Source organism: Homo sapiens, chromosome 6 (genome assembly GCF_000001405.40).
Source record: "Homo sapiens chromosome 6, GRCh38.p14 Primary Assembly".
NCBI lineage: Eukaryota > Metazoa > Chordata > Mammalia > Primates > Hominidae > Homo > Homo sapiens.
The window spans coordinates 1,910,606-1,924,368 of record NC_000006.12 but is presented as its reverse complement, the minus strand read 5'-3'; the positions used below and the strand labels follow the sequence as shown (position 1 = coordinate 1,924,368).

Genomic DNA, 13,763 nt, shown 5'->3' with positions numbered 1-13,763 from the left:
TGCTCCAGAAGGGTCCTACTGGTAACCCAGAGGACGTGAGGATCGTTAGGGGTGAGCGTTGAAATTCATCAGAATTTAACGTCATATACCTGCATCCTTTTTTGTGTGGAGGTGGCAGGGGACAGTGAGCACAGACTGAATCATAACAAAACTACTTTTAGAAATAAACGTAATTGCCAAATGTTAAGCACTTATTATATGCCAGAAACTTTTGAAGACTTCTTATAGGTTTTAAATGTAAGAAAGAGTCTGGCTGAGACAGCTGTCAGATCTTGCCGAACCTATGCTATTGGCTGTATCAGGTAAAGAAGTAAAGGGTGTGTTTGGGGAAAATATGTAGTCAGGTCTCCAGCCCCCTCTATCCCTTGTCCTCTGAATGAATTTACCTTCATTCCAGCTCTCAGTTCTCAGCTAATACAGAGACCTGGGGAAGGTGAGGAGCCTCTGGAAGGGTACATAGGTTACAGACAGAGCTGGGAGAACTGCCCACTGCTGCCCAGTCCTTTCTTTCCTATCTGTCCATCTTCTACTAGCATTTTGTATCCTATGTTACACAAATCTGGAAGGAAGAGACGTCATTTAAACTTTGAGATCTTATTTAAGGGAAGTTTGCTTGTTGCAACATCACCATTGATGTCGGATTTTTCACGACCCTTTCACTGGACTTGTGACAGGGTGCTCCGTTTACTTGGCCCACCATGCTCAACCGCTTGTAGGAGGGAGCGCGTGAGTGAGCGAGTGCGGGATCCGGCTGGCTGCTGCTCTGTGCGCTGGCAGGAACAAGCTCCATTTACTCAGCCTGCTGCGCTCAACCCCTTGTGGGAGGGAGCACGTGAGAGAGCAAGACCAGCTGCTCTGGTCACCAGCAGGAGCAATCTTCGTGTGAGTGTTGCTGTGGTACACAGGTGGGGGTGCCTGTGACCCTGAAGCCCCAGAGGGTGTGTTACAGTGCTCTCTTAGCTCTGCCGTCTGTGGACAGCAGTGTGTTATCAACTCGGTTGGTCCTTTGCCTCGTCACGTGGAGCAGCTGCCCTCTGCCAGCGAAGGCAAAGGGCCAGTGTGACAGCTTTTTTTGGGTACCCGCACTCAGTGGGTCCTGAGCTCTTGTTGGGAGTCCAAGAAGAATGAGGTAGTGTGGACACTTGAAGGATGGTGAAGGTGGATGTATTAGTCCGTTCTCATGCTGCTGATAAAGACATACTGGAGACTGGGTGTTTATAAAGACAAAGAGGTTTAATGGACTCACAGTTCCACGTGGCTGGGGAGGCCTCACAGTCATGGTGGAAGGCGAAAGGCACGTCTTACATGGCAGCAGGGAAGAGAGAGAATGAGAGCCAAGTGAAAGGGGTTCCCCTTTTAAAGCCAACAGCTCTTGTGAGACTTACTACCATGAGAACAGGATGGGGGAACCGCCCCCATGATTCAGTTATCTCCCACCAGGTCCCTCCCACAACACGTGGGAATTATGGGAGCTACAATTCAAGATGAGATTTGAAAGGGGACGCAGCTGAACTGTATTAGTGGAGGATTTTATTTAGCAACGGAAATGGCTCTCAGCAGAGACGGGAGCTAGCTGTAGATGGGACGGGACAAGTCTTCCCCTGACGTCCAGCCGGCTCTTCCCTGAGTCAAGCCATCTCTCTTCCAAAGTCCAGCTGCTCTCTGAAGTCAAGTTTTCCCTCTCCAGTCAAACCACGTTTCTCTCTTCTACTGACTGAGTCTGGGGTCTTTATAGGCAGAGGATGGGGTACAGGACGGGCTATCGGTAGTTTTGAAAAAGGCAACATTTGATGGGCAAAAAGGCATTATTCCGAAGGAACCATTCAGGAGAGAGTGGGCAAACAGGAGTAGAGTTGTCGCCTTGGGCCGTGAGTTTCAGGCTTTTTGGTTTGAAGGTGGAGCTTCACCAGGGACCTGCCCCTGTCTGCCTCCTGCCTCTGTCACCATCAGTAGACCATGTTTGTTCATATGCAGGAGAGTAGCATATAGCAGTAGTATCTTTTTGTGTTTCCATTGTCTAAAGTGTTAGTGGTGCCTGAATCCATTTGTTAGTAAGGCCTTACTTAACAGAAAGCAACGGTGAGGTTGTATCTGTCTCATAAAGTGACAGTGGTCTGGAAAAACCAGGGATCTGCTGAGAGCTCTCTATCTTAACAACATCGTTCCTGTCTTCCTAGCAGAGGGGAAGGCATTGTGTAACTACGTGCAGAGGATATTTACCTGGGGAGTTTCCTAGAAAACCTATTCTATTAGAATCTTTGTCAAGTGACTGTTTGTTAGGTAATAAGGTCAGCAATTGAATTTCTACTCACTGTGGGAGTCTAATTCCATATTATTACTTAGGAGCCTAAGGTGTTCTTTCTTGGAAGGGAAATATGTCAGTGGCCTCCTCACTGAATGTGTTGTAATACTCATCGATTTTTTATTTTGACTTTTTATATTGATTAGTGAGGTATTGCTATTGTTTTCCATTGTGGGAAAAAATCTTCTAGCCTTCTGTGGAGCTATTTAATATACTCTCTTTGAAAAATATTCCAAGAAATACAAATGAAAATAACTAAATAAATAGTCTCTCCTTTATCTGTATTTAGAAGAACGTGGTTTCTGTGTTGTTTCTAACAAACCAAACATTTAAGAAAGGCAATTCAAGGGCCTTGATTAATAAAGAAAAAAGAACAGCTTTATTTATAGGAAAAGAAAAGCTTGTAACAGTTTCCTGCATCTTTGAAACATAAAATGTTTAGATTAAGCAAAAAACCATTTTCCTGATCTGGCTATGGAAAACTCTGTATAACAAATTCAGCTTGCCATTTCTCTTTTTTTCTCTTCTTCATCCTGTGCAGTAAACTTTTCAGTGTATTATTTAAAATAAGTTAAGAAAAATGTAGAAAATCAATTGCCTGTTTTATCTGGCTAGGTCTTGCTTGATTGGAATGACATCCCAGAAGCTGCTGTGTCCCCAAATAAGAACCTGTAGAGCCCGTTTTAAATTGTTGTTTAATGAAAGACACCTGTATCACCCATATTTCTAGTATGAATTGAGTTTTCATTTACAGATAGTTTAGAAACATGAGACTGGGTGCATTCTTAGATCACATTTTCAGTTTGATTTAAACCACATAAAATTGAGCATATGTCATTAAATCAGAAAAGCAGTTATTGGCCAGGGTATGTATGGAGAGAGGATGCAAATGCATAGAGAATAAAGTTGCATGTTCATATAAAATGGGTTAGGTATAGTGCCTGTGGACGTGGATTATGAGGGTTATGAAACTTCATGTAAGTGCTGCTTAAGTTCTAATGGGTAGCAATTAACCACATTAAGATGGAAGCTTGTACTCCACCCTTTAGTCACGCTCATTGATGTGAAGGGTCATTATACCATTGCAGATCATGAAGTGACCCATTGTACTTAAGAAAGTCATGGTGCTAGTCTTGAGAGCAAAACTCCTAGGAAAATAGTGTAAGAAAATTCTTACACTAAAGAACTGTTCACACTTAGGTTAGCTATTCACTTTCACACTTACCAAGTCCATGAGATTCCTTGAGCTTTCTCAGTCCACCCCAGCCTGTTCTGCCCTTCCTCTTTCCCTGCCCTGCTCCCCACCTGTCTCTTCTTTCACTGACGTCTCCCACTTTTTTGTGACTTCTGTGAAAGTCTGGAAAATCTGAAAATATGAACTAAACTGACTGTTTAATTTTAATAACAAGACTGTCCACAGGAAATAGATGTAAATATCTCTCACAAGATGTGACATCATCTAAATTTAGTGATGATTTTGCTTATATCTTCAATATTCAGTGCTTCATCTTTATACTCATGCACTCTGGAGAGGGCAAAACGTATTTGCAATCAAGGCAGTCTTTTGCACACATACCATACGTTAATCACTCTATCTCTCTTGCTCTGTCTCTTTCCTATACACACACAAGCTAGAAGTCAAATCTCTGTTTTTGAATGCATGCTAAAGTACTGTTTGGCTTTATCCTACTTATTAGCACCTTTATTGCAGGAAATAATTGACTAAAATTACATGTTTTGTCTTTGCAGAGCTCTGGTGGAGAAGCCTGGGGGCTCTGCTCTGTCCTTTTTTGGGCCACCTGAATGCCCAAGCCCAAGCTCCAGGTTCCCAGGCTCATCCTCAGGGGACCCTCTAATACAAGCATGTTAATCTTGCCTTTGTATCCAAAGACACAAAACAAAACCTTTTTTAAGTTGAATGTTCCCGAAAGCAAAGAAACACATTTTATTTTCAGCCCCGTTCACTTCATGCTGGAAAACATCTCTTCTGCTTATTCCGTGGGAAGGAATTATAGCAGTAATGCCACAAAGATTCTCCTTATCCTTTTTCTCAGGTAAAGAAGAAAGTTCAATCCTCTCTGTGAGTGTTGGGTCATTTGTATCTGTTATTTCAGTTTTCTACCTGTTGACTTCAATACAGCTGGGATAATTGATGGCTTTGTAGTGCTGATTTGATCCTGAAATCCCTGTGACTCTGATTGATGGCCCAGGGCATCAACGGTAAGACCTGGCAACACGGAATGGATACTGTAGGAAATGGGCCAGATCTCGTGTAAGAATAAGATGTTTAACACTGACTTGCTGGAGAAATAAGTTTAATATAGGCTGGGGACTTGGTTCCATGTGCTTCTACTCTATGCCTTATTGAAGGTGAAGAATATTCAAAAGCCATTGTACTCTTGGGATCAAATTTCCAGAGGATTTTTGACTTGTTAGAGTTGCTTCAGAAACTATGCTGCATATGCCCCAAACAGATAAATTTGAGGTATAGTTAAGTGAAAGTCTCCTTTTCCTTTTAGAAGAGAAAAACAATTGGACTTCTACTAGGGCCAGTTAGTTACAGGTACAGTTTACAGAAGCCGAATTATGTAAAGGCAAAATTGAGAAATCCTTTGAGAAATTGTCTTTACATTGTTGGCCTAAGCCTCATATGGAAATTATTAGTAGAGTTCTCAAAGAAAGGGATGAAATTACTCCATAGGATAGCTTCCCTAAGTACCTCTCAGAGTTATGTAAAATATTTGAGATCACTTTTACCATTTTTTCTCATAGAGAGAATGGTTGGGCTCTCACTATAGAGAGAAAAGTGAGGGAGACCTCTGAGGAGCAGTCAGGACTTTGTTAGCTATCTCATGTCGGTCTCTCTTGGGGAAGCTCCTTGAAGGCAGGACCTGGATCCTATCCCTCTTTATCTTTAATCATCCCTCCCAACATGCCTGGCACATAACAGATGCCCAGTAAATACCTGAATTGGATCTCCCTGCCCATCATTTCTTTATAAAATTATAAAAATGAAATCTGTATATATGAAATGTGTTCCATTTCTCTTACTATTAAAAGATGCTTTCTTTAGCTAGCACAAGACATTGCCCCCAGAATATGATCTTACCACACTTAGGTTGAGTTGTGCTAGATTTACTTGATATCAGCAAAATGTTTGCAAGCACCTTTCTTTCTGGTTGAGTGCAGATCATAAATGAAAGGAAGTAACGTCTATATGTTCTCACACAGTGGCCAGTTTCCTGATTATCTCTAGATTCTACTATTATTAGACTTTATTCCTAGCTTTATTTTTACTTTTGATTTACTTATTTATTTTGAGGTAGGTCTCACTCTGTCACCCATACTGGAGTGCAGTGGCATGATTTTGGCTCACTGCAGCCTTGATCTCCCAGGCTCAAGTGATCCTCCCACCTCAGCCTCCTGAGTAGCTGGGACTACAGGCATGTACCACCATGCCCGGCTGAATTTTTTTTTCTTTTTAGTAGAGATGAGGCCTCCCTATGTTGCCCAGGCTGGTCTTGAACTCCAGAGCTCAAATGATCTGTCCACCTCGGCCCCCCAAAGGACTGGATTATAGGTATGAGCCACCATGCCCGGCCTTATTCTTATTTTTAAAGGAAGAATATCTGAGCAGATAGAAAAATGGAAAGGCAGAAGGATAAACTGGCCCTGTTTTACAAAATAATATTTAAAAATCACTAATATACCATTAGCTTATAAGACCAAGTACCCATGGGAGTACTTGATGATATTGACATCAGCTCATTCAGAAACCTTTTTGTGTGATCATCACTCTATTTCCTCTCAGTTTTCAAGGATCTCATTTGTTAGAGGATTCTTCTAGAGAGCCAGAGTTCCAAGGAGGGCTCTATTATTATGGAAAACCGTCACACTCTCCCATCCCTTCTCTTCTCCCCTCTCTATCCTCTCTCTCAGTCTGTACCCATCACCAACACATGCAAATTAGAAGCAGGTCATGTTGTAATAATAGGACTTTATTTTTAAATACATATAGAATTTAAAGATTCTTATGTATTTATTTGACAGTGGCTCTGGGAATATCTGTGGAAACAGTGCAGTAAGAAGAAAAGAAAAGCCTTCTGCAGTACCATTTTCTGTCCCTCGTGAGTGTGATTTCATTTCCTCCCTGGTCGCACATCACCCACATGCTCAGACGACATATCCCTGTTCTTGGGTCCGTCCTCCAGCTTCTGACTCACAGAGCAGAGCGATAGTCTGTGGGTGCCTGTGTTGGAGGGTACAGGTTGCATTCCAGGAAGGTGACTCGGCTGGCATCCTGCCTCTCGGGGCATTCTGTCACCAAGTCCACAGGATACAGATACCCCATTCAAGGTAGCAGAGCTGCGCCTACTTTGTCTCAACAGAAAAAGGCAGAGATGAGGATTTCAAGGGCTGCATAGTTTCATGTGCTTTTTCTTACAGTGTGTCCTTTAGTCAAGAATTACTTGCTGGTTTTGCCTGGGTCTCAAATTTCAAGTTTGAAAATAAAATATAAAGATCTATCACTAGAACTTATTTTAAACCCTGGAAGATTGTCCTATTCTATTCCTGTAGTGCTTTGTCATTTACATCTTTGTATTTGATTCTCCCAACACATATTTGACCATGGTTAGGAGAGCACGGATTGTTTTTTGTCATTTTCATAGGAAAAGGCTGACATTGAAAGGAGAAACCCTTGTTTGATGTCTTCTCTTGGTATCAGGCAGTGGGTTCCAGCCCTGCTCTGCCAACTCCTCAGTGCAGTGACTTACCATGATACTGTGCCATGTTTCTGGGCTGATTTTTGGTATATTTAGTCATTCTTGTGAGATTTTTAAAGTCATTTTTTTTTAGTGACTTCAAGTGTTGATTGTGTAGCAAACGTATTCCTCTCGCTAGGTATTACATATAAACTAGCATCTCTACTGCTGGCCTAATACCTCTAATCATCCTGTGAAACCACTCCAGTGTGAGGAACTGAGTGTGAAGGAAACTGTAGAACATCTGAGGAGCCACATGTGAAAAGGCCAGTCCCTGTGTCCTAAACAGACTTCCTCTACATTAAGCAGTCCTTTAATAGTTGTACAATCATATAATTTGAAGAAGATATCCATTCTGTACAGGAAATACAAGTTTAACAGAAGTCGTTTCATTTGATCCTTATCTTCAAAAAAAAAAAAACCTGAAGAAGCTTGAAGACGTGGCATGGGTGGTTTAGATTCCATTGCCTTTTGTCAGTGGCAGTAGAAGCCTCATTGTAGTTAAGCATCTGCCTGGGCCTCTGGGAAAACAAAGCATCATTAACTGGCTGGCTAATGAGTCATCTATTAAAATTATCCCTAATGAATTGTGGGTTTGCTTGTTTAATTGCGCGTGGTATTGTGCTCTCAAATGTTAGCAGTCCAGTGGGGCTCAAAGAAATTACACTGGCTTTATTGAGCATTTCAGTAGGATTCTTCCTAAGTCACTGTGCCACGATTGGCTCTCTCTCTTTCTCTCCCTCCCTTTTTCGTCTCTCTCTCTTTCTTTCACTCTCCTTTCCCTCTGTTCATCCCTACCTCTCTTTTTCCCTCTTCCCTTTCCCTCCTTTCCCTTCCCCTCCCTTCAGCTCATCTCCTCTCTCTCTCCCTTTCTTTCACAGATTGTGGGGTAGGAATACAATATGAAAACTCTTACTTTGGAGAATCTGCGCTAATGGCATCTTGAGTATGAACAGCCCCCCACCCCCGCACGTGAAGGGTTGATAGAGCCTGGTGAGCAGCTGGCAGACGCCCCATTTTCCTTCAGCTGCACCCTCACGTTTCATCAGCGCTGGTCACTGTGGGCGTGCTACCTTGTAACTAGGTGGCTGCTGGTCTTCCTTTCCCTACAGCCATGTTGTCAGTCTAGAATGGGGTAGCAAAAACATCATAGGAATAAAGGGCTAAACTACGTAAAAACCATGATTGTATATTGAAAAATGCTTAATGACAGTTTTTACACCAGTAAGAATGCCAAGATCTTCAGGTACAGCTTAGCTTCCACCTGCGAAGCCTGCGTGAGCAGTGGCTGGGCGGGACATGTCTGAATGGTGAAGGTGTTGCCACCTCCCAATATGGCCCTTTCTTTATGAACAGCTCTAATGGTCAGTTGTTATTTTAAAGTCAAAGCCTTCCTTGAGCCTGAAACCATGAATTAAAATATCCAGTTAGTCTTTATTTTCAAGTTCAAAACCTTATTGCGTACTGAAAATGCATGAACTACTGGACACTTTTACAAGCTTACTTTCACAGGAGTCTGGTAAGATACGTGCTATTCTCATATTTTTCTCACTAGAGGGAAAACATAAGGCATAGAGAGAGAGGCTTGCTGAGTCTGGCCCAGATCAGGCGCGTTCATTCGGCCGACCCTTGTGCTGGCTGTACCCTGCACTGTGATGCTCTCTCTGCCTCCCACATGGCTGCCAGAGTCGCCTTTCTGAGATACAGATACTGTCATATTTCAACTTAAAACCATCACTGTCTCCACCATGGAATAAAGGCCGCTGTCTGGAGCATGCATTCTCGGCCTTGGGCAGGGCCCCAGCGTCCTCCTCCGGAGCTGGGAGCTGCTGGCCCTGCACCGTGCCGGCCCTGGGCTGCCCCTGCTGCTTGCCCTTGGAGTCCTGCCCTGCTCAGGCTCAGCACTCAGCTGCCTCTGCAGATGCCCTCCTCAGGGGCCCTACTCTCCTGGCCACTTCACTGAAGAATTGGCCATTTCCCGCCTTGTCTGCAATGCTTTATTCTCAGCCCTGTGAGCCTCTGCCAGGGCCTGGCTGACAATGCTTGCATCTGGCCCCTAGCATCTCTCACAGCGTCTTGAACCCCGGTGCTCAACTGCCTGAGATTGAACTCAGTCAAACCAACTCAGCCTCAAATCCAAGTGTCCAGCTTCTTTATGGGAAAAGCAAAACCACTGGTTCTGTGGGGACACATATTCTCTGCAGATACAGTGGATGGTTCGAGGTCTAAGGGCATGCGAGGCCTCCGTGCTGCTCTCCCTTTAGTGGATGCCAGCCACCTGCTGTAGCTGGAGCCCAGGGTGGGCAATGGCTGGCCACTGCCTGACTTGCAGACCTCCCAAGGTATCCTCACCATCCCAAGGTCATGACAACCTCGCACACTTCTGCCCAGGCCTAAGCAGGAGGGGGGCCTGTGTGGGAGAGAGGGCCTAGCACCTCACTCATCAGAGCTGTGTACATGACCACACTGCTGTGCTTCAGGGAGGCCCAGTGGCTGGATGTTGAGCTTTGCAGACACCAGTCAAGAATGATGGGTAGTTGGGCGCGACAGGAGAGGATTCAGAATTTGCCATCCAAAGCCCTGTGAGACACAAGACTAAGGCCCAGTGCCTGGTGCAGTTCTGCCTTTGACATTGTGAGGGGCGCACCTTGGGAACTTGGAGCACAGGGATCTTCCCTGGAAATAGTCTCAGGTGTCACTTGTCACCCTGCATTGGGACTTCATGAGACTGTGAATAACTACAGTAAACCAGATGTGCAAGAAGCCAGAGTCTAGGTTATAGTTACTTCAGACTCTGTATTTAAAGATTCTCTCTTTTTTTTCTTTTTTTTTTTTTTGAGACAGAGTCTTGCTCTGTTGCCCAGGCTGGAGTGCAGTGGTGCGATCTCGGCTCACTTTAAGCTCCACCTCCTGGGTTCACGCCATTCTCCTCAACTGGAGGATTCTACGCCTCCCAAGTAGCTGGGAATGCAGGCGCCCACCACCACGCCAGGCTAACTTTTTGTATTTTTAGTAGAGATGGGGTTTCACCGTGTTAGCCAGGATGGTCTTAATCTCCTGACCTCATGATACCCCGGCCTCAGCCTCCCAAAGTGCTGGGATTACAGGCGTGAGCCACCGCGCCTAGCCCAAAAGTTCTCTTAATTAAAAAAAAAAAAAAAAAAAAAAAAAACAAACAAAAAACGCTTTCATGATAATTGACACACGTTCTATGTAACACAAATCATATGCTGGCTTTTGGCTCCCACAGTTTAGCAGCAGTGCCTAAATGGGATTGCTAGTAGCATTTCTCCCATCAGCAGAAAGATCTATAGGATGGATATACTGTATTATTTTTTCCTTTCCCCCCGTACATCCACTCACTGATGTAGATGGGAACATAATGCAAACTTAAGCTTGCCTTATTTACATAAATCTTCCTGTTAGCTTTCCGCTTTACCATATCTGCATTTTTATGTTTGACCTATTAGTACTTTTTTGGTTTTATAAAGAAAAAAAAGTGCTTCCCTCAGCAGAACCATCTGGCTTCGTTTCCTGTTCCTCAGCAACTATATGTGTATTCTAGCAGGGCCACCCCTGTGGTTTTCTGAGTGGTGCTGTTTCACTGGTGGTCTTAGAATTCAACTGGAGTGATGGAAAACTTATACTATGGGCTTCTTTCAAGTCTAAAGTTTCCAAGGTGAAAAAGTGCATATTATTGTCATTTTTGACATAGCCTTTTTTTCCCTGTGACTGGAATATGGTCTTTTAAAACAAATCACACCCTTCTATTCTTTGAGGAAGAAAACTCACTTCTAAAAATGTCTTTTAGATAGTTTGCTACCAAATTTCCTTGGCAGCAAACTGAGGCAACTGAGAATATAATCCAGACATTTTTACCACATGCAAACTTTCTTTTTTTTTTTTTTTTTTTTTGTTTGTTTGAGACGGAGTCTCGCTCTGTCGCCCAGGCTGGAGTGCAGTGGCAGGATCTCGGCTCACTGCAAGCTCCGCCTCCCGGGTTCACGCCATTCTCCTGCCTCAGCCTCCCGAGTAGCTGGGACTACAGGCGCCCGCCACTACGCCCGGCTAATTTTTTGTATTTTTAGTAGAGACGGGGTTTCACCGTTTTAGCCGGGATGGTCTCGATCTCCTGACCTCGTGATCCGCCCGCCTCGGCCTCCCAAAGTGCTGGGATTACAGGCGTGAGCCACCGCGCCTGGCCCACATGCAAACTTTCTTAAAGGGTCAGTTATTAATAACTAGTTTTCTTGATCAAATAACAATAAATGAGCAAGTTAACAATAAACAATGAGCAAATTACATAACTAAAGGGTGTGGCATTCAGTTTATAGTTTGTGTGGCAGAGGTAAGGTCAGTCTCATCCAGAAGGGCAATGTGTAATGCTGCTTTGGGCTTGTGGTACACACAGAGAATCCCAGCTGGTCACTGGGCACATTTTCAGAGGGGTGTGTGCATGAGGTTGAAATTCTGTATTTTTATGTTGTAATATTCTACAGATTTTGAAAATTTTCTGACCAAGTGTGCACTTATTTTTCACTTTGTGAAATACTGCTTTCTAAATCTTTGTTTTTAGAAACAGTCACCAAAAGGTTTTGTTTGTATATATATATTTCATTTTTTCTCTTTTTCTGTTTTTGGTCTGTGCACATCCCACGGGTAGTTGAGATCCACAAGCTATGGAGAGAGGAAGACCCCACAGTATTTTCTTTTTCTTTTTTTAAGGGAAGGTGGGGTATCACATTCACCCAGTAGGCACTACATTTCACATTTGGATAAGACTTTGTTTTATAACTGTTTGTATTTAAAGCTTTCAAATTTTACTGTGTAAGGTAATGCAAAGTGTTTAACCTGTTACCTATCACATAGAAAGAACTCTAAAAAGTTGGAGTGCTCCCCACAGTCCTTTGATTAGATCACTTTTTAAAAAATTTTTTTTAGACAAAGTCTCACTCTGTTGCCCAGGCTGGAGTGCAGTGGCGTGATCTTGGTTCACTGCAACCTCTGCCTCCTGGGATCAAGCCATTGTCGTGCCTCAGCCTCCCAAGTAGCTAGGATTACAGGCGCCCGCCACCGCACCTGGCTAATTTTTGTATTTTTAGTAGAGACAGAGTTTCACTGTTTTGGCCAGGCTGGTCTCAAACTCCTGACCTCAGGTGATCCACCCGCCTCAGCCTCCCAAAGTGCTGGGATTGGAGAAGTGAGCCACCATGCCCAGCCAAGATCACTTATTTTTAGTGATCAGAAATGGTCGATTCTAAAATGATAAGATTATGAAATCTTTATTCTTCTCCTTAGTTTGAAAAAGTCTTCAAATGTAGCCTCAGACCTATTATTTTTTATGAAGAGTTTAGAGACATTGAAAAAAACTCTGTACTAGAGGATTTGGTTTTTGGAGGTGTTTTTTCCCTACAGAGTAGTTCGTGGTCCCTCAAAGACCTTGCTTAGTCAGAATGTTGCTTGAAGGTGTGCAAAGTTGAAGGGAATGCTCATTTTTAATTTTAAGAGGAAGGAAAAAAGTTAAAAATTGAGGCTAATAAAAGTTAATGAGGAACATTTAAATCCTTCAATGGTTCAATTTATGTTGCAAGTCAGAATGGTTCATGCCGTTATTATATGTGTGTGGCAACATCCTCTCTCTGCTGTAATTCTTTTCCCTTGAAAACTAGCCCATGCAGCGTGGAAGGCATATCATACTCTCATGATTGCTGTTCATTCTTTTGACAAATTCCACGGCTTTTTTTTTTTTTAATAGGGGAAAGAACAGGCACAAGGAAATTAAAATATAAACGTCTGTTTTTTCTGCCATTTTTTTCCTGTTTGACAGATTACTGAATAAAGCATGGTTATCAGCAGAGTGACCATTTCTAACTGTCTCTTTGTGCTTAAAAATTTATTTTGGGATGGGAAACATTCCCCAAACCCAGAGGGTACACTTAATATGCCAGTTTTCATTTGAGAAGAATTACTTTTCAGTTGTAGGTGTTTTGGGATGTAGCCTGACTCAACATCCAGTATTAATGGTCCAAAGATAGAACAGCTGAACTTTCTGACTGCCCTTCTTTGGGAGACATTAGCATGTCCCTGGAGACAGTTTCCCCAGCTCTGGTTACGCGGATCAGTATGTAGGGAAAGCTTATTACTTTTAGAAACGTTCCTCTTGGAGGGCCCTGTCTATTACCCACATCAAATATATGGTACACGTTGCTGTTTTCTTTGCTTTCGAAATGCTTCAGAACTAGCCCCTCCATCTTTCCCTGACTGTAGGGTCCAGGCTGTGGGAACAGATTTTCCATCAGACCACCTTGGGAAATGAAGTGAACTTTTTAGTGGTACATTTAATTCATTAATTGCCCTGTCTCCAGAGCTTCCAGAGATTTTTCTTAAAAACACAATGCCAGTTTTTTAATAGCAATGTTTAAAAAGTCAATGCTTAACTCATTCAGAGAAAAACTCCTGTGACACATTTCCTGGAGGGCATTGGCCTCACCACTTGTTTTTATTAACAATCTATATATACTTGTGGAATTTATCTCTAGATGGAATATTCAGTCTTATCCCTACACTTTCCTCAGACTGAGGCTTTTCATGGTGAGGTTGGTGACTGCACGCCAGAATCAAAAGACCCTCGTGTATGTGCAAAGCGTCTGCTGTGCTGTATGTTGGGTCCTCAGCCTCTTCCTGCTGCTGCCTGGCCT

At 43.1% G+C, this 13,763-nt stretch overlaps 1 protein-coding gene across 8 annotated transcripts in view, besides 1 other annotated feature; it reads left to right on the top strand.

Moving 5' to 3' along the window:
• The window catches only part of GMDS (GDP-mannose 4,6-dehydratase), a 621,800-nt gene that overhangs the window by 321,237 nt on the left and 286,800 nt on the right, over positions 1 to 13,763 (top strand). The window lies entirely within an intron of this gene.
• Positions 4,199 to 4,744: an enhancer, noted in NCBI's record as "NANOG hESC enhancer chr6:1919859-1920404 (GRCh37/hg19 assembly coordinates)". NCBI's record gives its function as "activates a minimal SCP1, AML or CMV promoter by ChIP-STARR-seq in primed H9 embryonic stem cells {active_cell/tissue: H9 hESC(primed)}" and the evidence as "EXISTENCE:reporter gene assay evidence [ECO:0000049][PMID:30033119]".